Source organism: Homo sapiens, chromosome 16 (assembly GCF_000001405.40).
Source record: "Homo sapiens chromosome 16, GRCh38.p14 Primary Assembly".
NCBI lineage: Eukaryota > Metazoa > Chordata > Mammalia > Primates > Hominidae > Homo > Homo sapiens.
In genome coordinates, this window is record NC_000016.10 from 70747071 (window position 1) to 70774457 (window position 27387).

At 53.0% G+C, this 27387-nt stretch overlaps 1 protein-coding gene and 1 long non-coding RNA gene across 6 annotated transcripts in view, besides 4 other annotated features; one reads left to right on the forward strand and one right to left on the reverse strand.

Annotated features, from left to right (window-relative positions):
- VAC14 (VAC14 component of PIKFYVE complex) overlaps positions 1–27387 on the reverse strand; it is a 113720-nt gene that overhangs the window by 59632 nt on the left and 26701 nt on the right. For all 5 annotated transcript variants that reach the window (NM_001351157.2, NM_018052.5, XM_005256038.5 and 2 more), the window contains 3 exons: positions 25039–25102; positions 15811–15955; positions 15470–15535 (listed from right to left, as the gene is read on the reverse strand). In NM_001351157.2, coding sequence (NP_001338086.1) covers positions 15470–15535; positions 15811–15955; positions 25039–25102 — 275 coding nt within the window. The remainder of the gene's footprint in view (positions 1–15469; positions 15536–15810; positions 15956–25038; positions 25103–27387) is intronic.
- Positions 243–877: an enhancer, noted in NCBI's record as "H3K27ac-H3K4me1 hESC enhancer chr16:70781216-70781850 (GRCh37/hg19 assembly coordinates)". NCBI's record gives its function as "activates a minimal SCP1, AML or CMV promoter by ChIP-STARR-seq in primed H9 embryonic stem cells {active_cell/tissue: H9 hESC(primed)}" and the evidence as "EXISTENCE:reporter gene assay evidence [ECO:0000049][PMID:30033119]".
- Positions 3654–4333: an enhancer, noted in NCBI's record as "H3K27ac-H3K4me1 hESC enhancer chr16:70784627-70785306 (GRCh37/hg19 assembly coordinates)". NCBI's record gives its function as "activates a minimal SCP1, AML or CMV promoter by ChIP-STARR-seq in naive H9 embryonic stem cells {active_cell/tissue: H9 hESC(naive)}" and the evidence as "EXISTENCE:reporter gene assay evidence [ECO:0000049][PMID:30033119]".
- Positions 7542–8182: an enhancer, noted in NCBI's record as "H3K4me1 hESC enhancer chr16:70788515-70789155 (GRCh37/hg19 assembly coordinates)". NCBI's record gives its function as "activates a minimal SCP1, AML or CMV promoter by ChIP-STARR-seq in primed H9 embryonic stem cells {active_cell/tissue: H9 hESC(primed)}" and the evidence as "EXISTENCE:reporter gene assay evidence [ECO:0000049][PMID:30033119]".
- On the forward strand, positions 8025–26181 carry VAC14-AS1 (VAC14 antisense RNA 1). Its single transcript, NR_034083.3, has 6 exons — positions 8025–8179; positions 8943–9017; positions 14083–14188; positions 19373–19486; positions 21776–21873; positions 24538–26181. It is a non-coding gene; the product is annotated as a VAC14 antisense RNA 1 (long non-coding RNA).
- Positions 8183–8823: an enhancer, noted in NCBI's record as "H3K4me1 hESC enhancer chr16:70789156-70789796 (GRCh37/hg19 assembly coordinates)". NCBI's record gives its function as "activates a minimal SCP1, AML or CMV promoter by ChIP-STARR-seq in primed H9 embryonic stem cells {active_cell/tissue: H9 hESC(primed)}" and the evidence as "EXISTENCE:reporter gene assay evidence [ECO:0000049][PMID:30033119]".

Sequence of the window (27387 nt, forward strand, 5' to 3'; positions counted from 1 at the left end):
GGAAATAACCCAAAGGCCCTGCAGTGGAGACAAGGAGAAATGGAACGTGGCACATCCACACCAGGGAATATTATTTGGTAATAAAAAGAAATGAAGTACCTGCTACACGTGGATGAACCTTGAAAACACCTGCCGAGAAGCCAGCCACAAAGTCCACATCCTGTATGATGACTCCATTAACAGGCAAATCCACAGAGACAGAGGGTGGATTTGTGGTCGCCAGGGGCGTGGGGAGGGAGGCATGGGGAGTGACTCCTAACGGGTGCAGGGTACATACAGGGCTTCTTTCTGGGGTCATGAAAATGTTCTGGAATTAGTACTGATGGTTGTATAATCTTGCGAAAAATACTAAAAGTTACTCTATGGTATACTTTTAAAGTATACAATAGAGTCGTTTTTATGAATTTTATGGTATGTGAATTGTACAAAAAAAGGGCGGGGGGGGCAAAACCCTAAATCAGCAACCTAATTCCTAACCCATTTGCTCTTGCTCTGCCCACAGCCCGAGGTGGTGGGGTCTCACCCACTCCCTGGTGTCTCTCGCCTGATCCAGGGGAGAGGAGGAGCACGGTGAGGAGATCTGTGTCTCTTTACATCACTTTGCCCCCTCGCCCCCATGCTGCCCATCCCACCCAGGTCTGTCTGCACAGGGGGACAGAGGCACACACCTCTGGGCGGCCAACACTGGTGGCCACGTGCAGCAGGGGAGGAAAGTGAGGAGAAAGTGTGATCCAGCGGGGCGGCTGGGGCCAGGCCAGCACTCGGCAAGATCCCTGTGCCATGGGGACAAACTGATTCATGCTGGGTATCCGGCAGGTACCTACTTCCCTGTCAGAACAGAGGCCTGGAAAAAGCCACCGAGAGGCCTGGCCTGTGCAAGGTTGTCTCCACCCTTCGAGTGGCTCCAGGGCCAGAGGAGCAGGCTGTCCTCGCTCCCGGCCACAATGAATGCCCTCACTTGTCACCAGTCTCACCTCACAGGATACACACAAGGGAACTGAGACTTGGACAGTCACCTGCTCAAGGTAACAGCGAGTCCACCTCAAACCCAGCTCTGGTCCCCAAACCTGAGCCTGCTGATAACACTACACAGGGTGCTGTGGTCAGACAGTCCTGACATCCAATCCTGACCCTGGACCAGTTAACTTCAACCACACAATGCTCCCTCTCCAGACAGCTGCTGAGCAGCTGCTGTGGGCTAGTCCTGTGCTGGGTATAAGAGACACAAGGCCAGACAGGTCAGGCTCTGCCTTCAGTGAGGTCATGGACTCCCGGAGGAGTCAGGTGGTGAGCATTTACTGATAATACAGGGCGGGTGCCAGGGACCCAGTGATGATGCCTGGGGGGGAGCCAGGAGGCTCTGGAAGTAGTTGAGCATGAGTTGGCCAAGGGAGTAAGAAGGGAGAGAATGGCATTCAAAGTATTCTCTTACCTAGCATAAGCCATTCATGGACGCAGAACCACGTGGCACATTCCAGGAAACTAGGCTTTGGGGCCAGCTCCAGAGTGGGGAATGGGGCCAGAGGTGAGGGTATGGCCAGAAATCAGGCCAAAGTGGTAGGCAGGGCCAGATCTTCAAGAGCTCATGACACAAGGCCAGGTGCGGTGGCTCACGCCTGTAATCCCAGCACTTTGGGAGACCGAGGCAGGCAGATCACCTGACGTCAGGAATTCAAGACCAGCCTGGCCAACATGGTGAAACCCCCTCTCTCCTAAAAATACAAAAATTAGTTGGTATGGTGCTGCGAATCTGTAATCCTAGCTACTCGGGAGGCTGAGGCAGGAGAATTGCTTGAGCAGAGGCTGTAGTGAGCTGAGATCGCACTACTTCACTCCGGTCTGGGCAATAGAGTGAGACTCTGTCTCAAAAACAAAACAAAACAAAAAAACAAAACCATAAACCAAAAAAGAGCTCATGACACAAAGAAGTCTGAACTTCATTTTGCAGAGGATGGGAGCCTCAGTTTCCCTATATGCGCAATGGAGATTTGACCTTGCCAGGCTGTTGTGAAGATTACAAGAGATACTTGATGTGCAAAGCACGAAAAGCGGGCACACAAGAAAGGCTGGCTCACCACTTCCATTCCAAGATTTCTGGTCCCACAGCTGAGCTGTTCCCTGGCCCAGGCTTAGTGACTGAGCATGGACAGCAGTGCCCACACCAAGGGCTTCCAACCCCGCTTTCTCCCCTGCAGAGAATGTGCTTAGCCCACCTCAGTACTACTGCCTCCCACCCCACTGCAGAGCACAGCCAGCAAAGCTGCATATTTTACATTTTCAATTCTCTTATTTTAGAAAGTTTAACACCAAATGGCAAATGAATGCAAATTACACTTCAATTGCACAATTAAAGCCGGAAATGTTGTCTACAGGTTCGTTCAGTAATCCCAGCCACTCCTCTTGTGCTTACATATCATAGGATTTGTCTCTGGTCCCCAGAGGCTGGCAAAAAGCCCACAGCCCTGCCTGAGACAACACTGTGTGCGCTTGTGCGCACAGACACACACACACAGCACCCCTCCAGCACTTTAAATAAAGCAGGACCCCGAAACAGCATCCCCATCCCCATCTTCCCTCAGTCTCCTAGAGGTGAGGAGAAGGGGCCACCAAGATGGAGGGCAAGGAATGGCTTGAGGTGGGGCCTGGGGTGTGGGGAGCCGGCTGATACCCGGCTTCTGTGCCCCTCCAGTCCGGCTGCTGCTTCGCTCCCAGTTGCTAGCAAACCTGACTCAGCCCAGGGGGTGACCTTGAGGCTCTGGAGCACCAATCTCGATGCACACCTTGGCCAGGACTCTGCCTCTGCCTGGGGTGGAAGAGAGGCCCTGGTGAGAGGAAGGCCCTGGGAGGCAACCTCAACAGGGGGCCTGGGTCCCAGCAACAGAGACTGTGGGGAGCTGCTCTTCCAGCTGCACCTGGCTTTGAGCCTCTGTGCTGGGCCAGAGTTTTGGTGCTCTAGCCACCTGGAGACCCTGCAACCCTTGGTGTATAGGTAGAAACCTCTGGAGGAGAAGGCGATCTCAGTGGCCTGGCTTACTGTGAGCCCCTCTCAAGGCCTGGAGGAAAGGCCCGAGAGCTAAAGACACGCTTCTAGGCCACTCCTGCCTCAGCTTCCAGGAAAACAGACCTAGTCCTCCTTCCAGTGAGCAGGCTGGCTGGGCCTGTAGTCCTGGCTCTGACGATGAGAAAAGGCTCAAAGAAAGCGGGAGGAAGCCACACCAATTAGTATGCGCTACACAGCTTTTTTGCAAAATGAATATAAAACACTTGTGCTTTCTTTTTGTGTGAGAGAAAGAAGGGAGGAAAGAGAGGGAGGGAGGAAGGACAAGAAAGCAATATTCTGCAGGAGCAGGAGCGCCTGCCGTTACCATGGTGACAGGCGGGGGTGGGGAAGGCCCATCAGCTGGCCCCTGGTTTCGGAGTGGAGTGAGCTGGCCATTGGTGGAGTGAAAGGGTCAGGGTTGGTGGCACCTGGGTGTGGGCAGCATCTCACAAAGCAGCTCTGGAGGGGGTGCTCAGGGCGAGGGGAGAGGGCTTTTTGCCTTCCACGGTGGTGACTTTACACCAGCAAAGGGCATATTTCAATGTGGGAGGAGGGTGAGTGTCTGGGTGGGGCCACCACAGGCTGTCGCCCCAGTGCATTCTAGCAGGTGAAGTCTAGTCTCTCTGGGATGGTGGCTGCTCCTTCTCTTCTCTGACTGGTCCATCCAGGCCCTCACTGTCCCAACACCTGGTCCCAGACCAGCCCTAGGAGACCTCGGTGTGGAAAGCTCCCAGCTCTCACTCTCCCCAGGGTGCCGCGGCAGCTCCTTTACCATCCTGGGAACAGCTGGGGACTGGACACCAGATTTGCAAGGTCAAGTGTCGAGGCTGGGAGGCTCGTTCTCACCTCCCACCAAGATTCCCGAACATAAAGTCCCAGGGCGAGGCACTCAGTCTCAACTGAATAAATACTTGCTGACCTGCAGCGTTGGACAGGAAATGGAAGATGGATGGCTCTGAGCAGCTCCTGCCAAGGAGGATGGACGGAGAGGCCGCCCACTTCACTCTACCCACTTATCCTTAAGAAACTTGGTCAAACGTTCACACAGGCCATTGGTCGGCTGATGAGCCCTAGGAGTCAACTGACTCAGCCTTCTAGCTACTGAAGAGGGAACCCTTCTTGTGTTGACAGGAAATCCCCAAGCTGGGCCCTCTCCAGGCCTGGCCAGGAAGAAGCTGCAAGAATGTTTCCAACGGACACACTTGGTACTGGCGGGGAGAGGTGAACTCAGGCTAAAGGCCTTGGAAGCTGAGGTCTGGCCAGTGCAGGCCACTGCCAAAGGCTATCTGATGCCTCTGCCTGGAGCGGTCAGGTCGCAGGGCCTTGCCTGAAATCTGGGTCAGGTCCAGCAGCTACTTCTTCTGAGGTGGAGCTGATGTGAAGTACACAGGCCCCGAGGGCAGGTATTCCTGGAAAACCTTGGGGTCTTCTGCTCCCCTCCAAGCAGGAGCCTGGCCCCTTCCTTCGTGAGGGGTGCAGCCTGGCTGGCCAAGCCTCTTCAGTCCCTGACCACATATGGAATGGCTCTTGTTGCCCTGGTTTAGGGGCATTAGCCAGAGAGCACACCCTAGGAAGCCGGGCTGCTGTACCCAGGAAGGGTCCCCTGGGGGAGCCATGGGAAGGACAGTAGGGCTTCCACTGCTGAGAGCATGGAAGAAGGCATTGGCACCAGCTGGCACCGGGGCCAGAGGCCTCCGCCCTGGACACAAAGTAAACATGAGCTGCAGAAGGCAGCAATCGGGCCCTGGCCCTGGCCTGGGAAAGGGGTGGCATCCTGAGAAACGCCCTGGTCTGCACGGGGTCACAGCAGCCCTGCCTTCTGCAACAAGGAAGGAAAGTGTTGCCTAAAAGAACGCTTAGCTTTGGTGGTGGGAAAGGAGCACTACTTAGGCCTAGACCCATTTTATTTCCCATTGAGAAAACTGCCTTGATAGAAAACGTTTTGTCTTAGTAAACCAAAAGCAACCTAAAAAAAAATCATAAATCTTAGTTTGTGTTGCGTGACTTTGAACACAAACCCTGGGGGATGAGGACAGCATTCTGTGTTTAAACATTTTGCCACCTTTCCTTCAGTGTCCAGCACTGTGCCACATATGCCAGAGGCCAGCGCCTAACGCTGACTGTTAGGTTCCACTGATTAACAGTGACAGCACCATTAGTGCCAGCACTGGGTCTGGCAGCTGAGAACACTCTAGCGGCCATTCCTCTTAGGGTAAAGGAGAAAAGAAAGGCCAGCCTCAGGTAAGACACCTTTGAGACCAGATCCCTGACCTCCGTCTTCTCTCCCACCCATTCCAAGGTCTCCCCTCCTTCCAGCTGATTCCAGCCATTGCTCACTTGCACCATCCTGGGCCCTGACCCAGAGGGTACACTCTCAGGGTTATAAATTCTCTCCATGAGCTGGGCAGGGAACGGGGTGGTGCCTGCTGCACTGAGAGCAGCACGAGAGTGGTGCCCACTCATACCCGCTATGGCTCTGTCACCAGGAGATAAGCCTAGGGGCCACGGCAGCCAGGAGAAGGCTCCTGCCTCCCTCCAGGGCCCCGCTTCATTGTGGTTTACTTGCAAGCTACGCACAGTCCCCGAGCGAAGGATGCAGGCTCTACCCCATAGGCCTCGCTTCCAATCTGCTGTGGGAGGGCCCAATGCAGCAGGACAGGCCCCAGATGTGGGGCACGTCCAAGGAGATGAGCTCCTCATCCAACCAAACTCCTCTATTTGTTCACTTTCTCAGAGGACGCTTCTGAGCACCTACTGTGGGCTGAATGGACTGTCCTCACAGAACTCCCAGCTAACAGGCCACGATGGAGAGGGATTAGAGCTAGGAGAGGGTCTGAGTGGACGGGGGGACATAAAGACACAGAGGGAACCTGGCCCAGCCTTGATGTGCAGGAGGAGGGGGTGTGTGTGTGTGTGTGTGTGTGTGTGTGTGTGTGTCAGACAGATGGACAGATAAACAAGGCTTCATGGAGCATATAAGTGAGATCTGGCCCAAGTTACTTAACTTCTCCAGTTTCCTCTTAGGGGAAATGGGGAAAATGACAGAACCTACCCTCACAGGGTTGTCTGATCGTGAAGATGAACTAAGATCACTCACAAGGGGCAGAGCACAGGGTGTGGAACAGAGCAAGCCAGTGTGAAAATGGTGGGTCTCATTAGCAGTGGGGGGACGGTCCCAGTCCTCTACATCTCTGGGCTCACCTGGGCTCACCCAGGCTCACCCAAGCTCCTGCCAGTCTGTGGGCCTTGTGACTTGCCAACAGGGAGGTGCCTGGGAAATCCAGCTGATTCAGCCTTGGCCATCTCCAGAGGAGGAAAAATCAACACATGACTTGCAAGAAATTTTGGCTTCTGAGGACGCAGGAACGCTAAGTGGGGTGAAAACCGGGGGCCCTGGCTTGGCTGCCTCGCCTAGGGCTGCATGGAGAGGGCACCAGGGCTGAGAGCTGGGGGTATATGGCCTACAGTCTCTAAGCAAGATCTCACGCTGGTCTGTATCTGTGCTCCCAGAGATGTGCACCAAACCCACTGGGAAGCATGTGAAAAATACCAGCCCCTGGGCACCCGGGCTCTGCTTGAGGGACGACTGAGGAAGGCCGGGAGTGAGGCCCAAGCAGCTGGATTTTAAAAGCTCCAGGGAATTCTGGTGACAGTCCTGGTTTAGATGGCTCTGCTGTGTGGCTTGAGCCGGGGCTGGATAGTGTGCTCAGTCCTGCAGGCAACTCGCCCTGCAGCTTGGCTCTAGGAGGTGTGAGTGAGAGCGCCCATTCCTGCCTCAGGGAAAGGCTGGCTGGGCTGGCTCCTCTTTGTGGGGTTCCTCCTACCCCAGAGGCCCTGCCGCTGGGAGAGCCGCCTCCCTTTCCACCATGCTTCTCAGCCCAACCTCTGCCTTCACCAGGAGCTAGGCAGCACCCTCCTGGCCCCCAATCCATTCATACCAGTTACTGTGCCCAGCTCTGGGTCCTCACTGGTCCATCTGCCCAGGGCAAGGAACATGGAGAGGTAAATACTCAAACCCTCCTGGCACACAGTCCTGTCTTCCCTGCAAGGAGGTGGCAAGGCTGGCCGCAGTTACTCTGGGTCCCCCTGTGCTCTGGGGTGGCTGCTGTGGGCACTGACACCACAAGGTGGGAACATCTGGAAGAATGAGGGGTGGGTAGAGGCCCTCTCAGTGGGTACAGTTCTGGGACTGTTACCTTGCCATTCCCCTCTCTTCCCTAGCAACGATTTGCCGCCAAGCCTCATTTTAGAAGACCACAGTCCTCTCTGAACCCCCAGCAGTGGCTGCTGGTACCTCTGCTGGGCCTGGGACCTAGCTGTCCCCGAGGAGGAAGGCTCAGGGCCGTGGCTGGAGTCTAGCTGCTTTGCTGGCTGGCGGTGGCCCTTCTCCCTGGCACATGACTCCCTCTCACTTGTTCTCAGAAGCCCCCAAAAGAAGCTGCAGGGACAGCCGCGGGGAGAGGGGACAGAGGGCAGTGTCCCCTGCCCACGGCAGGGCCAGGGGAGGGTGCCTCAGGAAGAGGGTCCCCGGGCCATCAGTGCCCACCCAGCTCCTCTCCCCTGCAGGCTGGGCTCTTGCAAGAGGAGTCAAGTTCTTTGGGCACCGACACGGCACCCCTCCATTCTCTGGGCTGAGGCCGTATCTTACTGCGTGATCTGATTTTAAAGATATCTGTGGAATTGAGGTGGGGGTGGAGGGGTGTTTTTGTTTGTTTTGGAGAGTGGATGGAATGAAAATTGGAGGGAAGTGAACACTGAGGCAAGAATCTGAGGAGGAAAAACAAGTACTGTTCTTATGGAAGACTGTCCGCTTCTGAGCAGGCAGCATTAGTATTCCAGGGAGTGGAGTCAGGACCACACAGATTCAGGGCTGGAAGGGATCTCAGACCATCCAGTCCAACCCCAGTACCCTGGGAAGAAAACCGAGGTGAGGCGGTGTCATGTGACCTGCCTGGTCCCGTGGAGAGCCGGGCAGCGTGGGGGCAGAGGCTGGCCCTCCTGATCTGCACCCAGGCGGCTTCTACACCACCCTGCAGCAGGCCTGGCCACCGGCCTCAGCGCTTCTGGGAGAAGGTCAGCCAGGTGGAAGATGGAGAGGGCTTCTGGACTGAGCCCTGGAGGGGGGCTAGGGGCCACCAGGTCAGTGAGCAGCCAGGGACAGCCCATGGGGCCTGGGAAGGAAGGTGCAGGAGAATGAGGTCAAAGTTAAATGCACAGAGGGAGAAGGTGCATTTAGAACTGAAGGTCAGCCAAGGACAAAACCCTATGGGGTCAGCGGAGGGCCTGGGCCTGGATAAGGCAGTGCCTCCACCCTGGGCCGGGTCCCTGCTCTGCAGTGAGGTGACACCTTGTGTGAGGTTTTAGATGCTCTGGAATCAGACAGATTTGACTGTCAATTCTGGCTGACAGTGTGACCTTAGGCAAGTGATCCTCCTCACACCTCGGGGTAACTAAGATCACTCCTGGACCACCATGTGGATTCATTAAGACACAGATGCAATGCACTCAGAATGGGGCACAAGCCCCGCAGACTTCAGCTGGGGCCCTCTCCTCCTCCTAGTCTCCTCCCACTGATACGAGGGGTTGACACATGACCCACCACGGTTCCTAAAGAAAGCTGCAGCGGGGGTGGTGGAGGGGCCGTCATTGGCTCTCTAAGCTGCCCTCAAATGAAGGGGCCTCTACTTTAGTGGAAGCCCCCATTTTGGGGTAGACACTGAGGGATGGCAGTAACAGCTCCTCTCTTTGGGGGACGGGAGAGAGCAGCCCCAGCCACCTGGGAACCTAGGGGCACTCTGCTTCCTCCCACCATTCCTCACAGCACAGCTCGGGGGTTTGGGGCTTCCCCCAGGTGGGACCCCAGGCCAAAGTCCGTGTCATCAAGAATTAAATCCCTTTAAAGCAGGCAGATGAGCCCTGGGACCCAGCTGGCCAACCCACCTGACCACGGTGACAAGGACTGCTTGGGAAGGATAAGGTAAGGGAGTACATCTGTGGACCGGATGGCATGAGGCTGGAGAAGGAAAGGGGCACGCTGGGGTGATACACAGGGCTGCTTCTGCCCTGAGGCAGGAAGCCAGGCAGCCTCACCCCAGCTCTGCTCTGCTCTGCTCTGGGCTGGGCTGAGGCTCCAGGCAGGCGTGGCAGCAGCAGTGGCACTGCCAGCCCAAGTTGGGCCGTTCCTCTGGGCTCCTAGGCAAGCCCCGATCTGCTTCTCTTTCTGGCAACTCGGCCTGGCCCCAGTGAGTGCTCTCCTTTCAGATCTCTGAACCTCCTGAGTTTTTCCGATCCATTTCTCCTGGGACCTGCACCATGAAAACAAATGAACTCTCCCCTTCCTCCCCTACCAAAGCAAATCGCACCTTAAAATACAGTCTAGGGCATGGCAGGGGGTGCTTCCCAGCGCCTACCCTGCTGGTGAGGGGCTGAGAGGCCCAAGACCAAGGAGGGCTGGATAGGGCATCTGCCACCAGTGAAGAGCCCCTCAAGGCGCCCCATTCCTCTCCCCTCAGGACTCAGCAGAGGCTGGGACAGCCCTTGGGGTTCTACCCCATGGGTCAGGCACTTCTGCTACCTGTCCTCAACCCAGGTACCACTGGGTTGGGGAGGCACCGGGCCACCTTGGACCGGGTACATCGCTGTACCCATGGTGTACCTTACGAAACTTACAACAAAAGCTCCTTTTCAGATGCCCTTACACCACTCCCTAGACCTTGCCCCCTACCATCCTTTCCTCCTGAGTCATGGCCGTGCCACAGTGGGTGTGATGGGTGGCCCATGTTCTTCATGCAGTGAGTGGGTTCCCAAACTAGAAACGTTACCACTGCCATGAATACTGTCCTCGGAATCCTACTTTCCAATTTTTCCAGAAAGGTGGTTCTCATTTCTTTTCTTTGCATCTACACCAGTCACAAAAGCCACAAACTCCCATCAGCAATTTTTCTGTTACTCTGAAGCTACGGGAGGGGGAAGAGAGGAGTTCCTCCTGGGTTGAGACTCTTCTCCAAAGTGTTAAGGACGCCCCGGCTCTGAGATGCTGGGAAGACTCTGGGGACACTTTCTCTGTAGGCCCAACTGCAAAGAAAACAGTTCATGCTGGTGACTGAGCCCAGCAGGGCTTGCCTTCTCGATCTCAAAGGTTTTGCTTTTGTGGCTGTGGAGGCTCCAATGCAGGTCCTCTGCTGACGACGCCATTTCTCTTCCTCTCCCTGGACTCAGGGCGGCCAGCTGGAGCCCTTCCGCCTGCGAGTCGGGGAAGTGGCGCTGTGAACCTGCTGACAATGGGGCTCTAATGAGTAGAGCTCATGCTGAATGCAGCCTTGCTCCTGCTCTGGGCAGCCTCAGCCCAGGAGTGCTGGGGAGGCTGGAGAAGGGAAGACGGGAGGGGAGACAAATGCACAGAAGGCCAGTCCTGTGGCCCACTGTGTCCTTGTCTGCCTTTCTATGACCTCAAAATGGAACTCAAGTCCCTCAAACACCCCTGAGGTCCTCCGGCCTCTAGAGACAGGCAGGAAAACAGAGAGCAGCTTCTGTCCTGGGTTTTGCTGCTGAAGCAGAAGCAGGGAGGACCCGGAGCAGATGCAGAGCCCATTGCCCTGATCTCAATGTGCATCTCCAGGCCCTTTACAGAAATGACCTCCTGCATCGGAGGAGCTACTGCTTATCGTGGGTTTATGTGTGCTGGGTCCCAAGGGGAGCATTTGACATTCATGATCTCATTTCATCCTTATAACAAACCTGGGAGCAAGCTTCCACTATTATTTTCTGTTTACAAATAAGGAACCTAAAGCTCAGAGAGGCTAGGTTACCAACCATCAAGTGGCAGAGCCCAAGGTGGACTCCTAGACTTCCTGAACCCAAAGCCCGTGCTCTTAACCACCAGGCCTCAGTGTCACCTGGGTAGAGAAGGAAGAACCAGAGAGGGAAGTCATTCAGAATCACATCAAAATTACAAAACACTGAGAGTACTCATCATAAGTGAATAAAACCTACAAAAAAAGACTCTAAAGCATTACTGAAGGACATCAAGATGGCTCACAGGACTGAGAAAGAGCCTGGCTCCTGGGTGGGGGAGTTCACCACAGTGAGACGCCAAGTTCCCCCAACATACTTGTAACGACAGACAGGTCATTATAATGGGCCAGGGTCTGGGTGAGGGGGTTACGCTTTCTCTTTAAACACGCCTATGAGGCTGGTGTAGACATCATTATCCCCTTTTCACAGGCCCAGGGAGGGTAAACTCCTTGGCCAGGGTCCCCGGTAAGGAAGGTTTAGAGCTAGGATTCAAGCCAGGGTCATGGCCACCTGTCTGGGATGTTCACGTTCACTCACAGGGGAATAGACATCCTTCCAGGATTTTCTGGAGACTGTGATCACCCTGAGAGTTCCAAAAGCAGGCTGGGAGGCAGCTGTGCCTAGGAGTTGTGGACTACCTGAGGTCCCACCATCGGGACCATGGAGAGGGCCCCCATCCCGTGGATACTCACAGGTGGGGGTATGGCCATCTTACAGGCAGAACTCACTCAGGCAGCATGGCGGCTGCCCAGCTGCCAGGCAGCCAACAACTGGCATCTTCTGGGCAGGGGAAGCAGCAGTCTCACCTCCCAAACAGGGACCCAGCAGGATGCAGTGAGCACGCACCCTGCATTCTGCACTGTGGAAATCAGGGTCACATTTTCACTTAAAAAACAATCAGATCTCTAGCTATGGGAGGATTTCTACTCCAGTGCCAGGAATATTAATTTGACACCTGCAAATTCTTTTTGACAAAAGGAATTTTCAGATAACGTCTGCAAGGAGCAGGTGGTGCTGAGGAAACAGCCACTTATCTTGAATAATGGGAAGGCAGAGACAACTGAGGATGCCAGAGGGTGGAGACTAACGAGGTGTCACTCGGTGGAACTGAGGAACAATGGCAGACGAGACACCCCAGCGAGGCCACGCACCCGTGGGACTGACAGAGATGGTGGTGGCAGCAGAGCTGGGTCTCTGAGGCTCTGCTGCGCCAGCTCTTGCATCACCAACACCTGAGCACACTGTCCCCTGCGAGCAGTGGCTCTCAGCGAGAGGGAGGAGCATGTGGGTTTATCACAACCATCCTGGGAGAGCAAGACATTTGCAACACAGATGACAAAGTGAATGTCCCAAATATACAAAGAGCTGCTACAGATCAATAAGAAAAGTGGACGAAGGATCTGGGGGCTGAAGGGGGAGCTTTTTCAAAGTACACATACCAGCTGGGCATGGTGGCTCATGCCTGTAATCCCAGCACTTCGGGAGGCCAAGGCAGGCAGATCACTTGAGGTCAGGAGTTCAAGACCAGCCTGGCCAACGTGGTGAAAGCCCGTCTCTACTAAAAATGCAAAAAGTTAGTCAGGTGTGGTGGTACATGCCTGTAATCCCAGATACTTGGGAGGCTGAGGCAGGAGGACTGCTTGAACCCCGGAGGTGGAGGTTGCAGTGAGCCGACATCACATCACCGCACTCTAGCCTGGGCGAGAGTGAGATTCCATGTCAAAAAAACAAACAAACAAAAACAAAAAACCCACAAAAACAACAAAAAACACATACACCTCTCCATACTCTCCACGCTCAAGAACTTCTGGAACAAGACCACAAAACCTTCCCCTGGTGAAATCATGAGGAAATGAGGAGGAAGATACAACCACACACAAGCTCGCCTCCTGCTGCTGACATGGGCTGGGAGCATGCTGGGTGAGACTCAGGCCTGGTGAGGAAGCGATTAAGGGCCCAGGCTTTAGTGCCAAACAGATCTGGCTCTGGGTTTGGGCTCTACCACCTCCTAGCTGTGTGCAGGTCATGTGACCTCCTCAGGCCATAGTTTTTAGAAATGCAAAATGGAAGTAAGACGACTCCCCGCAGAGAACCGTCGTGAGGGTTCTACAGACACAAGTGAAGGGTCTAGCGCGATTCCTCCCATGGTAATGACTTCCTACAGTTAAGAATCTTCCACGACAACCTGTGCCGCGGGGCTGCCTAGCTGGAAGTGAGAGCCTTCGCAGCGAGCACTGAGGTTAACTTCCATGAGTGAGGACTTTGGTAGGAGAGGACCTGCCTGTCTGGCTGTGTTCCTGCTTAACCTAACAAGCTTTCATAGTCTTGAATCCCAGGGAGCTCCAATTCGAGATCAGGGCTGTTTGGAAATACTTGAAAAATCCTGAGAGGGCACTTTCTAGATATCCTAGAAAGGAAGTTTCAGGAGAAGATGGGCTTTGTCTTGTTCATGGTTGTTTTCCCATTGCCAAGTACACAGCACACCCTCAGGCTCACCAAAGATTAAGCAGGGGACACTTAGGAATGTGATTCTGGAAAGCAACCGGATGGGGTAAGATCAGGACTCATCACTAATGATGAAGGTCCCCAAATCCCTCCTCTAGACAGAAGGGGAAGCAGAGGCTCTTCACTGCTGTTATGGTACCCCTCAACTGTCCCCCAGAGCAGTTTCCACACCCTCCCCAGTGCAGGCCCACAAGACGTGCCCCAAAACCCTGACAACATTTGGCACTTCAGCAAATCGAGTTTCCACAGCCACAGCCTGAACAGCGCTGTTTAATGGACTGCATCTCCGCCTGCTCCCTTTCAATGCGCACACACAAAAACCAATTTCAAGCACAGAAAGCTGGATGGGATTAAACAACTCAGTTTAAAGGACTGAAAACTCAGCTGCTTCCAGTGAAGTCCTAGGGAAGGAACCAATCAGCAAAGTTCTGCTCTTCTTTTTTGTATTGAAATGAGGGCTGTGACTGTGCAGTGAGTCACTCCCAACTCGCAGGCAGAACGGGGCCAAGTCCACCTGGGCCTCGCGCTGCAGGGGGTGGTGCACGAAGAGAGGGTGTGTGTGTGTGTGTGTGTGTGTGTGTGTGTGTGTGTGTGTGTGTGTGTGTGTGTGCATGGGGGGGCGGGGGGTAGGCAGGAGAGGCCAAGGGCATACTCACAGACCATCTGTTTTGGATTTTTCTGGTAATACAGAAAACCTCAGAGGACCTAGAGGTTGATACCTGCCTGTCCATTTCTCTCTTCAGCCCAGGTTCGGGAAAGCAAATTCAGGCTGCAGGACAGCTGCCCGGGCCCCCCACAAGCCTGGCACCAGCCCAGGGAAGACTGAGGAGCCTCACTCCATGGGGACTGGTGAGCAATAGCCCTCTCCCATCCCCCCCACCCAGCCTCATCCACTCTCTGCAGTGTGGGCAGGTCTGTTGATTCACGAGCTGGCTGCCTCATGGAGATACAGCTCTGCCTACAGCTCACAGTGCCTTGGCGCTCAGAAGAGGAAAGTGGGCTGAGGCTCAGCTTGGACCGTCAGCATCTGAGATGCAGCCTGAAGAGCTGGTATGGATGGAGGGATGGGATGCTGCCGTGCAATGGGCACGCGCAGCTGCAAACCCTGCCGCTTGGCTGGGAGGCAGGGGAACCCGGTAAAGGAACACCACGCAATGGGCATGGCTGAGAATGGAGTGTGGAAAGGTGTGTGTGGCTGGGGCAGACTCCTGCCCAGATGACAGGAAGAGCCAGGGGCCCCCTCCACCTCCCAGGCCAGCCTCTGTACTCCAGCTCTCTCAGAGGGCTCACTCCTGCTGCCTGGGATCTGGGTCAGCCTCTCCCTCTGCACCAGCAGCTCTTGGTGGCCCCAAAAAGGCAAAGCTTAAGGGTCCAATTTCAAACTAGAGGTCATAATGGAGTCCAGCTGAAATGAGTAACACAACCAACGCTAACTGAGCGTGCAGCAGGGGCCCGGCCCAGTGCTTAGCATTTTACATGGATCATTTCCCTCTCACATCCCCCTATGGTTACTGCCCTCATTGAACAGAGGAAAACTGAGATGCTGAGATGCAGAGATACTAAGTGTCTTGCCTTTGGGCAGCCTCACTCCAAGCCAAGCTCCCCGCCTGTCCTGTGCTGCCTCCCTTACTGACACTCTGCCCCAGCTGCTCCAGAAGGGACTACAGAAGAGTCCTCACTCCTAAAGTGAGTTTTTTTTTTTGTTTTTGTTTTTTTGAGACAGGGTCTCACTCTGTCGCCCAAGCTGGAGTGCAGTGGCACGATCTCTGCTCACTGCAACCTCTGCCTCCTGGGTTCAAGCAATTCTCCCACCTCAACCTCCTGAGCAGCTGGGAGTACAGGCGTGCACCACCACGCCCGGCTAATTTTTGTATTTTGAGTAGAGACGGAGTTTCACCATGTTGGCCAGGCTAGTCTCGAACTCCTGGCCTCAAGTGATCCACCCACCTTGGCCTCCCAGAGTGCTGGAAAAACAGGTGTGAGCCACTGCACCTGGCCCCAAAGTGAGTATTAAACACAGCTTTACCTCTAGGAAGGATGCACTGTACCAAAATAAGCATATCTCAGTCACTAACAAGGGGAGGCAGGGCAGCCGATGTTCCATAAGTACGGGTGGCGTTGGTGACCTACCTCATCCGATTCATCCGATAACGTCTGCAGTAGGATGGGAAAGAGGCTGTCCGTGTGCCGGAACATCTGGAGGGCAGAGAAGCAGGGGTGCCCGTGAGTGCTCCCTTCGCCCCGGGACTACGTGCAGTGCAGTGTCCCGCTGGTGTGCACGGACCCACTGGTCTGCACGGACCACTTCCCTCCCCGACACAATGAGGGCTCCTCGCAGCACCTGTCACTTCTCTGCCGGCCAGGGTTTCCCTAGAAGGGCAATGACCAAAATGCTACCAACTATGGGCAGGCCCTGGAAAACCAAGGCGGACCCAGAAGAGGCCCCTGGCTTGGAGGGGCCCAGGGCTCACCTTCCGAGGAGTTTTGATGTAGAGGTGGTAGAGCCACTTGAGAACTGCAATCCTGGTCATCATCCCAATGGCCGTGTCACTGAGGTGGCAGTTTAGGACCTGCACGATCCCGTCGAGGTGAAGGGTCACTGGGGCTCTTTCAGTGCTGTGGGTAAGATCGGGAGGGAGAGCAGAGGTGAAGCCCACCATAGCCCTCTCCCATGGAGTCATGGCACCACCCTGGGCCTGCACATCCTGAGTCACACACTGCTAACCACCGTCTAGGGGGATCGGGGGTCAGGGATAACCTGATCCCACACATCCTTGCTGGTCTCCCACCATCCCAGCTCAGCCCAGCCCAGGGGTTTGAAGGGGGCTTCTCTCTCTCCCTTTCCAAAGAAGTTTGGAGCTTGCTGCTGGGCTGGAACCATGATAACCATGTTTTGGGGGATGAGGACCAGTCTGCTGGGCTCCCACTCACTTTTCCTTTTCTTTCTCCAGCACCAGCCTGGCTTGCACAGGAGGAGAAACCCTCTCCCAGTCACTGAGCTGACCTGACCAGGCTCAAGGCATTAAGTTCAGACCCTTTCTTGGAAAAACAAAACCACCAGGTCTGGACTGTATGAGGGAAGGTCCCGATAACAACTGTTGACCTCCGCCAGGCCCTTCACCGGCCATCTGAAGGATGTTTCTCAAGTGAGGTCAGGGATCGAGGCTTGTCATTGTGCCTTGCCACTGCACCAGGGCACTCAGCACATTTGGCCTAGGAGAGACACCCTTGAGAGTTAAGACCAAAATGCGCTCCTTTGAGTTGGGGAAGGGGTAAACACAGCCTCTGCCTATGAGAAACGGATATTGTTCAGGAGGTACTTTTGTTCTGGTGGGCACAGGAAGCCCCCTGGCTTCTGTGGACTGAAGTCCTGCGGGTCCCCAAAGTTCTGCTAAGCAGCCTGCGGGACAGCGGGTGCTGCTGGGAGGCTTGAGTTGGTTTTTTGCCCAAAGCACTGCTCCCTGGCACAGGCTGGGTTTTCAAGGTGGGGGCAGCATGGGTAGAAAAACCTCGGGATATTGGGGAGGGGCTCCCTTCCTACCGAGGCACTACACTGTACTTCCCAAATGGTGCCGACAGGTGCAGGCCAGGGGTTGCATTTTCTAAGGACCTGGGCCAGCAGATCAGTCCCCTGCCGGTATAAAACCGTCTCTTCGTGGCATTTCTAGGCTGCTCAATTATTCATTTGCATCAGGAACTGATGGCTGTGCTTTCCTCACTCGCCTGCAGCCTCTCTGAAGCTCATTTGATGTGAATCCCTAAAGGGCATGATTCTGCGCTCTGTAATTGCTGAGAGGAATTGCTATTTAATATGGTTTGATGATCCCCATGGTGCACATTTCAGGGGCAAGAGTGGGCACATCTATCCTCTGGTGGCCAGGAGCTCCGGGCATGTGATACAGCCACAGAGCCTGGAACTGAGTCTCTGGGCGGGTGGCCACTGTGATATCCCTAGTGGTCACGTGGCTGGAAGTTCCTGGTGTCTTCTGAGGATATCGAAACACTTAAATCTTTGCTAGCCTGAGACAGACGGGGACAGTACTGTGCAGGTAGAGGAGTCTAGGGCGGTAAACACTGGCCCCGTCAATCTCTTAATCAGTTTCTCTCAAGTCCACTGTCCCGCAGAAATACAACGCAAGTCACAGATATAATTTTACATCTTCCAGTTTTCAATTAAAAAGGAGAAACAGGTGAAATGAATTTCAATGCTGTTTTAATTGACCCAATGTATCTAAAATATTAGCATCTCAACATGTAATCAATATAACAGTGAATGTAAACATTCCCAACAAAATCTATTCTCTTTTGTGTCCTAAGCCTTTGGGACCTGGTGTGCATTTCACCGTTACGGTGCACCTCGGTTCAGAGTAGCCAACAGGCACTCAGTAGCCACGTGGCTGCCGCGGAGGCCCACACAACAGTCCACGCCAGGACTTTCTGAGTGTTTCCTTGTCATCTCTGGCAGTTTCCTAGCCACTCCCTTAGCTGACGGCCAGCATTTACTGTTTTATCTCCCATTCCCTCTTTTTCCCGTCCTGCAGAGCTCCTTCCCTTGCGTTCTGTTCCACACACTTTTTGGGCTGGAAGAATCCCCTGGCTAGAGAAGCTCATGTCCTGGTGGTGGAAGAGATGCCGCCCTACAGCCCAAGGCCTTATGCAAAGCAGGTGAACAGAAGCCACCCCCACCCCAACCTGGTCTTTCCTGACCCTGTGAGCCCCAAAGTCTGTAGTGAGCCCCTTTCCAGCAGAAGCCACAGGGACATGTAGGCTGCCAGGGTCCAGGGTGTCACGAGGACCCCGTGCCTGGCAAATCACTGTGACAAGCTTGGCTGAAACAGTACCCCCTGGGAGGAAGGCCTTGTTTTTCCTTGTTTCCCTGGGATCCTTGGAACTGCTCTGGAGCTGCTGGTGAGGAGGAGGGCGGTGCCGTGACCAGGTCCCCTACTCCACTGGCATGGGGCAGGATCAGTGGTGTGTCTGAGCCCCTGGGGGGAATAACAGCTCTGATAACAATGGCAGCCATGATGGCTGTGAAAAGTGAAAGCTCTCCTGGGCGCTTTCCTACACAGCCTCAAGTCACTCCTTAAAAAGCCCTATGGCCTAAAGCATGCCACTTCCATTTCGGGGAAGAGGGAACTGAAGCACACAGATAGGAAGTCACCTGGCCAAGATTACACGGCCAGGGAATGGTGGGGCCGCACTTTGGATCTGATCAGTCTGACTCCAGAATAATCTCACCCGCCACACGGCACAGCCTCCTGACCAGGGCAGCAGGCTCAGAGAGAGTCCCTGGTGGCATCGCCTCCACTGTATCCTGGGAGGGGCAGCAGAACGGCAGCTCCAGTGTGGACCAGCCCCTCTGCACCCAGGGGATACCTGGCAGCTCCAGGTGTCCGTGGAAGGAGGTTAGCACACATTTTTCAGTGTAATTTTGTATGAGAAGGGTAGACAGTGGCTCACACCTGAAATCCCAGCACTTTGGGAGGCCGAGGCAGGCGGATGATTTGAGGCCATGAGTTTGAGACCAGCTTGGGCAACACAGCAAGACCCTGTCTCTGTGAAAAATTTAAAAAATTAGCTGGGTGTGGTGGTACATTCCTATGGTCCCAGCCACTCGGGAGGCTGAAGTGGGAGGATTATAAGATCCCAGCTGCTGCCAGCTCCCAGCTGTCAGCTCACCTATGGTGAGCTATGACTGTGTCACTGTACTCCAGCCTGGGTGACAGAGCAAGACCCTGTCCCAAAAGAAAAAAAAAAAAAAAAGAAAAACAAGGGGAGGCAGAGGACACGGGGGAAGCCTGGTGCTCCCCACCAGTGCACTAAGAATCCAAAAGGGCCAAGATGTCAGGCTGGTTGGCCCCTCGGCAAGCTGAGCTCTGTGGCTCACAGTGGCCCTAAGATGCTGCTGGCCAGCCTGTGGGGCCTCTCCTGCAAGTGGTGCTGTGTCAGGGCCAAAGAACGGCAGCATATCACGGAGCTGGTATGTGAACTGGCAGCATTTCGTGTATTAACATTCTCCAACTTTCTCCACAGCAAACACCTGAACACAGCGAACCTGAAGGTATAGGGCATCTTCAGGCTGCTACTGAGGCGGTCCTGCCGCACTCAACCCAGAACCTCATCACTAAAAGGAACCTCATGGTTCAGGTAACACAATCCTTCAAGGTACGGATGAGCAAGCCCAGGTCCAGAGGCAGTACGGGACCCATCTGAGACCATGAGGCCATGTACCAAGCAGTCATTCCCTGGGCTGGAGACACTCTCCCTGGGCTTTTCTTCCCTTGCCTGGCTGGAGGTGGAGGTCATGGGAAGCAGGTGGACCCTAGAGGACCAGGCAGACTGATCTTAGTGCCTAGGAAAGGGAGGGTCAAGATCCCAGCTGCTGTCGGCTCCCAGCTGCTCTGCTGGGCAGGGTTGGCTGCTGCTGCTGAGCTCTGCACATGCTCAGCAGGGGAACTGGGGCTCTGGGACCCTGCACTCTTCCTAGAGGGCACACTGCATGATGTGCTCAGTTCCCCAGCTGCTGGGCCGGAGCCTGAGAGGTAGCACCCTGCTGTCGTGGCTTACCTTACCCATCAAGAACAGAGGGAGCTCACTCAGTTTAAAATACATTTCTGCATCAGTTCCAAAAAGTCTAGACGAGTCACTCCTGGGGGCTTCTGAGTTATTTCAAGGTGTCTGCAAAATTCCATTTTCATGGAGCATTTTCTCATAAAGCATCTTATAATGAATGTCTTACACATACGCGTACTACAGTTTCCAAATGCATGGCGCTGCTGTGACTATTAAAATATAGATTTACTGAATAATGCTTCTGATATTACCAATAAATAATAATAAGTTCCAGTTGTTCTCTCAGGGAGACAGCACTTCATTTCTGTAACGTCTAACTTTTTACAGTGTTCGGGTTACATCTCTAATCAAATCAGAAGAAAGGTAAATCTAAAAATAGAATTGCTTCTGAAATTGAACTTGCTCTTTAAAATACAGATAATTATAAATTTTTTCAATCAGCAGAGGCTACAAGCTGGGAAATACTGATTTCTAGAACTTTCTGCCTGCTTATTTACAGGGCAGCTAGCTACACCAGGAGAGCTGGTGTCACTGAAGACATCATGACCCTTGGCAACAGCCTGAGCCTCATAGTGGGGACTTCATACAACACCTGTTTGAGAACTCCTAAATCAAATGAGTTAGGGAGGCCAACTGCAAAAGTGGAACTCTCCAACTGCAACTAATAAAGTTAAATGCACGGGCTCTGGAGTCAGACAGATCTAGCTTGAATTCCAGCTTGGCTACTAATTAGTTGAGTGACTCTGGGCAAGAAGTTAACCTCTCTGGGTCTGTTTCCTCATTTGTAAGATGGGGATAATAACAAGGTTCTTGTAATAACAATTGTAGCTAAAGTGTGTAAAGTGCTTTCTGCGGCCCAGGCACCATGCTATGTTCTTTACATACTTAAAAAGCTTTTAAAAATTATTATTATTATTATTGAGACAGGGTCTTGCTCTGTCACCCAGGCTGGAGTGCAGTGGTACAATCATGACTCACTGCACCCTCAAGCTCCGGGGCTCAACTGATCCTTCCAACTCAGCCTCCTAAGCAGTGGGAACTACAGGAATGTGCCACCACACCCAGCTCATTTTTGTATGTTTTGTAGAAACAGGTTTTCACCATGTTGCCCTGGACTGGTCTCTAACTCCTGGGCTCAAGCAACCAGCCTGCCTTGGCCTCCCAAAGTGCTGGGACTACAGGCGTGAGCCACTGTGCCTGGCTGTTCTTTACATACTTTAACTCACTGAAGCCCCATATCCCTTTGAGGTCAGTACTATCATTATACTGAGTTTAAAGATGAGGAAACTGAGGCGGGGGAAATCACGCTACTTGACCAAGGCCACAGCCAGGCATGCTGGAGTTAGGGCATGAATCCAGGCAGTTGGCTCCACCAGGCAGAGCAGTCACGAGAGAGAACACACCCAGTGGAGACATTTCTCTCTTAACCCTTTCCTCAGCTGGCAAGCATGCTTCCTCCAACCGGGTTCCTTCACGTTCCACCTCTCCCTGGGGAGTCCAATTTTCCACCTCCCATGTATTTCCCATGCTCTGGAGGGTGGAGGAACCCAGACCTACAGCCACCTCACCACCTGCTGCTTTTCCAGGTGGCATTCTTCCATGGCTAAGCCTGGGGCCACCAGGGGCTTCCCGAGTATCGCAGGAAGAGGGGAGATGAGGGAGGGGGAAGACAGCTTCTGCTCTCAGGTTTAGTCAGTTAATTCTCCCTGTGTTTCGGTCCAAGTGAGAAATCTTTCATAAAAAATCTGGGATGCAAGGATTGCTTCCATGGTGATCCTTGAACCCCTGAAAGTGAATTCAGAATTTCATGTGGATGTGCATTTTTTTGGTGTGTGTGTGACAGAGTCTCGCTCTGTCACCCAGGCTAGAGTGCAGTGGCGCGATCTCGGCTCACTGAAACCTCCGCCTCCCAGGTTCAAGCAATTCTCCTGCTTCAGCCTCCCAAGTAGCTAGGAGTACAGGTAAGTGCCACCACGCCTGGCTATTTTTTTTTTTTTTTTAATTTTTATTTTTAGTAGAGATGGGGTTTCACCATGTTGGCCAGGCTGATCTCGAACTCCTGACCTCAGGTGATCCACCTGCCTTGGCCTCCCAAAATGCTGGGATTATAAGCGTGAGCCACCGTGCCCAGCTGTGGATGTGCATTTTTTTTGGAAGAGGGTCCATAGCTTTCATCAGGCTCTCCAAGGGTCAATGGCCACTCAGAGGCACAGGACTGCCACCACCATGGCAGTTTCCAGCCAGGTGGGAATGCCTTTCTGCCGTGGGAGGAGTCTCCAGTCTGGCCACCACCCTGGGCAGACCTGAACTGAGTGAAACTGGTGGCCTCACGTGGTGCCTTGGGCAAGCGGCGCAGCTGAAGAATCACAGGGTGGGTCTGGCTACCTGGCAACTCTGCACGATCCCACCCGTGTCCAAGCTCAGTCTCACTGTGTCAATACCCGCTGTGGGAAGAAGGTGGTGGGCTGGAGCCCGGGCATGTTGGCTCTGGTTTTACAACTCTGAAGGTGCCCAGCTCTTGAGCACAGCTGGTGACACTGACTGTGCAGCTGCCACGTGGGGATCTCTGTCACCAAAAGTCAGGAAGCACTAGATCATTTGTTCTTGTTTGGTTTTTTAGGTAGGATGGTTTGGATTTTAGGTAGGATTTGGCATTGGCTCCTGAATGACAAGTATAAACCAAAACCCTCGTCCAGTCTAGCACTTCCTGGCCTTGGCACAAGAACTGAGGGCTCCTGTAGGCTCATCCCAGCCGACAGTAGCACAGTCTCCCCAGCGAGGCAGCGGACAGCGGTGCCCCTCTGCAGCCCATGGCTTAAGCCTACCTCTGCCTTCTCCTAGACCTCCCCGACCTCCCCCTCAATCCCCATAGCCCAGATTACAGAGACAAGTCTACAACAGGCTTTTGGCTGCCAGAGGGAGGCTTTTAAATCCCAGATCAGATCCTGCCATTCCCACTTGTGACACTGTCTCCACAGCCTCCAGCGCAAAAGCTAAGCCCTCTGCAGGATACACAAGTCCTCGCATGTCTGTCCAGACCGTTCCCCGAGTTCCAGGACCCAGTACCTGAGTCTGCCTCCCCCTTTCTCCTGGGATGCTCAGAGCCACCTGGAACGAGCTCTTGACCACCCCACCCACACCTGCTCCTCCTTCCAGCCCTGGTGTGCAAATGACACTAGGATAGCGGGGGTCTGGCTCACACCAAATTTCTAGAAGGCAGTCTTTCCCTCACCTCTCTCCTGCCTACCCCATCCCACCCATCAGTGAGTCCTGTGGTTCTCAACACAGAGCTCAAACCCACCCAACTTTCTCCACATGCTGCTCCTCCCCAGCCTGAGCCCCCATCCCCTCTGATGGGGACAACGGTGACAGCTCCCTAGCGGGTCTGCATCCACCGGGCCCCTCCTAGATCCACTGTCCACAGAGCAGCCCCGTTCTTCCTCCCTTCTCGTCCCTGCCATGAAAGTAATACTACTGACCCCACGAGACTCAGACAAAGCTGAAGGATCCGACGTAAAGGTTTAGCACTGCGCTGGGGCCCTGGAAGCCTGGCTATGTTGACTGGCATTAGCTGTTATTCCCAGCCAGTCTTCTCATTGCCTGGGCTCAGGCACCATGGCCCTCCCTTTCTGGTAACTTCACCCCTCACATCAATCACTCCTCTTTCCAGTAACTTCCTGGCTACTTCTCTGCCTCACCACTGGAGTAAATGAATGAAGGTCAGGGACACATTCAGGGGCCAGCTCTTATCTTGGAGCCTACAGGGGTGAGCACAGGCAGGTGCACTGGAACGCGTGGCAGCTATGTGAAAAGGAGAGAATGGCAACATTCGCTGATCTCCTCCATCAACGTAGGGGACTCCTAGTGGTACATTTCATAAACGGCTGCACCTGCGTGCTTGGAAAACATGCTCAGGGTGCTGAGGGATGAGGATAAGTTCACAAATGACATCGATGAGGGAAGAACCCTAGCTAGGGGTCTGGGGGGAAGAGCCTCTTGGGGTAGAGTGCACACTTTCTCTTCATGAGTGATTGGCTCTCCCAGGGCCCAGGTTCACTGTCAAGTTCAGGGGAAAGAAACCCCTGTATGAGACCCACCATCCACTCTAGCCCCAGAGATGCCAAGGTCACCCAAAGAAAAAGTGACATGGGGCAAGTCCAGGGGACTCAGACCAGGGCAGAACCGTTACAGTACCTTCCGCGGGGAGTCCCTTCACCTTGCAGGGAGTATGGAGGGAGCCCCAAGGAAGAGAATTATTTTGCTGCCTGGTCTGCACTGCCCCCATGTGGAAGACTGCGCCATTACAGCTGACCTGGGCGCACAGGAGACAACAGCTCCTGGGGCCGGTGATTTATCCTTAATCTTGGACATGATTAATGACTGCCCATGCTCAGGCTGTCCTTGAACAGACTTCCCCTTGTGGGTCTTGTTGGCCCCCCATCATCCTGGACAAACAGACAGCGATGAGTCAAGGCAACTGTGTCTCACTGCAGTCACCATGTATTAGCTGTACTTTTATTATTATAACTTGCGTTTACTGACCTCCAATAGCTTAATTTTTTTTTAATATTTAAAAATAAGTAAGAACAATCCATTTTCTTTCATTCCTTTTTTTTTTTTTTAAGACATGGTCTCACTCTGTTATCCAGGCTAGAGTGCAGTGGTGTGATCTCAGCTCACTTCAACCTCTGGCTCAAGTGATCCTCCCACCTCAGCCTCCCCAAGTAGCTGGGACTACAGGCACACGCCACCAGGCCCAGATAATTTTTTGTATTTTCAGTAAAAACAGGGTCTCGCCATGTTGCCCAGACTGGTCTTAAACTCCTGAGCTCAAGCGATGTGCCTGCCTTGGCCTCCCCAAGTGCTGGGATTAGAGGCATAAGCCACCATGTCTGGCCCCCAGTGGCTTCTAATCCGCCCTATCTATCCATCAAGCCTGGGTGGGGTGGGCTTGCTCAGTGTCCTTCAGATTCCTTCATCAATTAACTCTTTTGTGTACGAGGGTGTCCCAAAAGCAGCAGCCGCGAGTAGAATTTGCCTTGGGTCATTGCTGTAGTCTCCCGCATCCAGGAAAGATCTAGGCCGCTCGCTTTCCACAAACCTTCTGGCTGAAACAAGCCACTTACCTGGCTGCAGTGAAGACACTGATGCCGCTACTGAAGCTGGAGTCACAGGAACCATCTGGACCTCCTGGGAGAGGAAGAGGAACAAGGGGTCATGAAAGGCTGTTGGCTCTCTTGAATAAACAAGACCCCTGTGACAAGCACACACAGAACTCTCCAGAGCCCCATACCTTGATTCAGGCTCTTCAAAAGGACCATGGCTCTGGAGCCCTGAGGACCCAACCAACGCCCAGTCATTCTCGATAGTCCCCAAGCTTGTAAGTCTGTAGTCACAGTGATCTCACAAGGAGGGGACACCAGTGCTAAACACATCTGTCAAATCTCAGAAGGGATCACTGGCCTGAGGGGAATGGATGTTTAAAATGACAGATAATACCCAGCATCCTTAGCTATCAGGAAAATGCAAATCCAAACCACAAGATACTACTGTACACCCATCAGGATGGCTAAAATAAAAGACAAATAATAGCAAGTGTTGATGAGAATGTGGAGAAACTGGAACCCTCGTACATTGCTGGTGGGAATGTAAAATGGTGCAAGCTGCTTTGGAGAACAGTCTGGCCATTCCTCCAAAGGCTAAACATAGTCACCACATGACTCAGCAGCTCCACTCCTAGGTATATGCCAAAGAGAAATGAAAACTTATGGCCACATGAAACCTTGTATATCAATCATGTTCACATCAGCATTATCTACAATAGCCAAAAAGCAGAAGCAACCCAAATATCTATCAACAGATGAATGGATAAATGAGGTGTGGTATAGCCATACAATGGACTATTATTTGGCAATAAAAAGGGATGAAGTACTGATGCACGCCATAAAAATGAACTTTAAAAACATTGTGTTAAGTGAAAGAAGCCAGTCATAAAAGACTACATATTGTATCCCTTTCTCGAAAGTGTTTAGAACAGGCAAACCTATGGAGACGGAAAATGGACTGGAGGTTGCCTAGGACTGGAGGAGACGGGGGAATAGGGTATAATGGCTAATGGATTCTTTCAAGGGCACGGAAAATATTCTAAAATTGATTGTGGTGATGGTTACATAACCCTGTGAATCTACAAAGTCACTGAATTGTACACTTGATGTTGGGTGAATTGTGTGGTACATGAATTCTATCTCAATAAAGGGCTTAAAAAATGACTTTGGGGAAAGGACTGTGACTGCACTGTGTCTGTGCCCGAGTCTTCCTCCAAGTGGCCAACTCAATACCTGTCTTAGTATTTAACTTACCATCATATAACCCAGGGTAGAAAAGCATCTACCTGGCATCGACTACTTATTTTTCTCAGTTAAGGAATAACCTTTAAATTCCAACCTTTTTCTTTTGGCATCTAATCAAGTTTCCTAAAGAGCCAAGATGTTCTAGATCTGGAAAGCTGCTGGTAGGATCCTGTTCCGCCTTCAGTCCCCGTCTAGGCACTGGCCACAGCTCTCACTGCACTGAGGAGGGAAGAGGGGGCTGGCAGTCCTGCAGTGCTTGGGGTGGGAGGTGCTATAGGAAAAAATTCCAGACTCCTGATACTAATTTTTTGTAGTTGTGAAATAATTTTAGATGTACAGAAAAGTTGCAAAAAGAGTAAAGAATTCTTTTTATACCCTTTAGCCAGCTGCCCCTAATGCTAACATTGTACATACCCATAGTTCAATTATTATTATTATTATTTTTTTTTGAGATAGAGTCTTGGCTCTGTTGCCCAGGCTGGAGTGTAGTGGCACAACCTTGGCTCACTGCAATCTTCGCCTCCTGCACTCAAGAGATTGAGCCCACCTCAGCTTCCAGGGTAGCTGGGACTATAGGCACGTACCATTAAGCCCGGATAATTTTTTTTTTTTTTGTATTTTCAGTAGAGATGGGGTTTTGTCGTGTTACCCAGGCTGGTTACAAACTCCTGGGCTCAAGTGATCCACCCACCTCAGCCTCCCAAAGTGCTGGGATTACAGGCGTGAGCCACCATGCCCGGCTCCATAGTTCAATGATCAAACCCAGAAGGTTAACTTCGATACACTACCATTAACTAAATGATTACCCTAATTTGAACATCACGAGTTTTTCCATTCCTGGCCTTTTGTTCCAGGATCTCACACTGCATTTAGCTAAACTGTCTTCTTTGTCTCCTCCAATCTGTTGCAGCCCCTCAATCTGTGTGTCTTTCATAAACTTGACACTTTTGAAGCGCTGGTCACTCTGCAGAATGTCTCCCCGTTTGGGTTGGTCTCACGTTTTCTCACGAGTAGGGAGTTGCGCATCATTGGAGGGATGTCACGGAAGTGCTGCGCCTCAGTGCACCCTATCGGGGGAACGTGTTGTCTGTTAGCCTCATTACTGGTGACGTTAACCTCATCGCC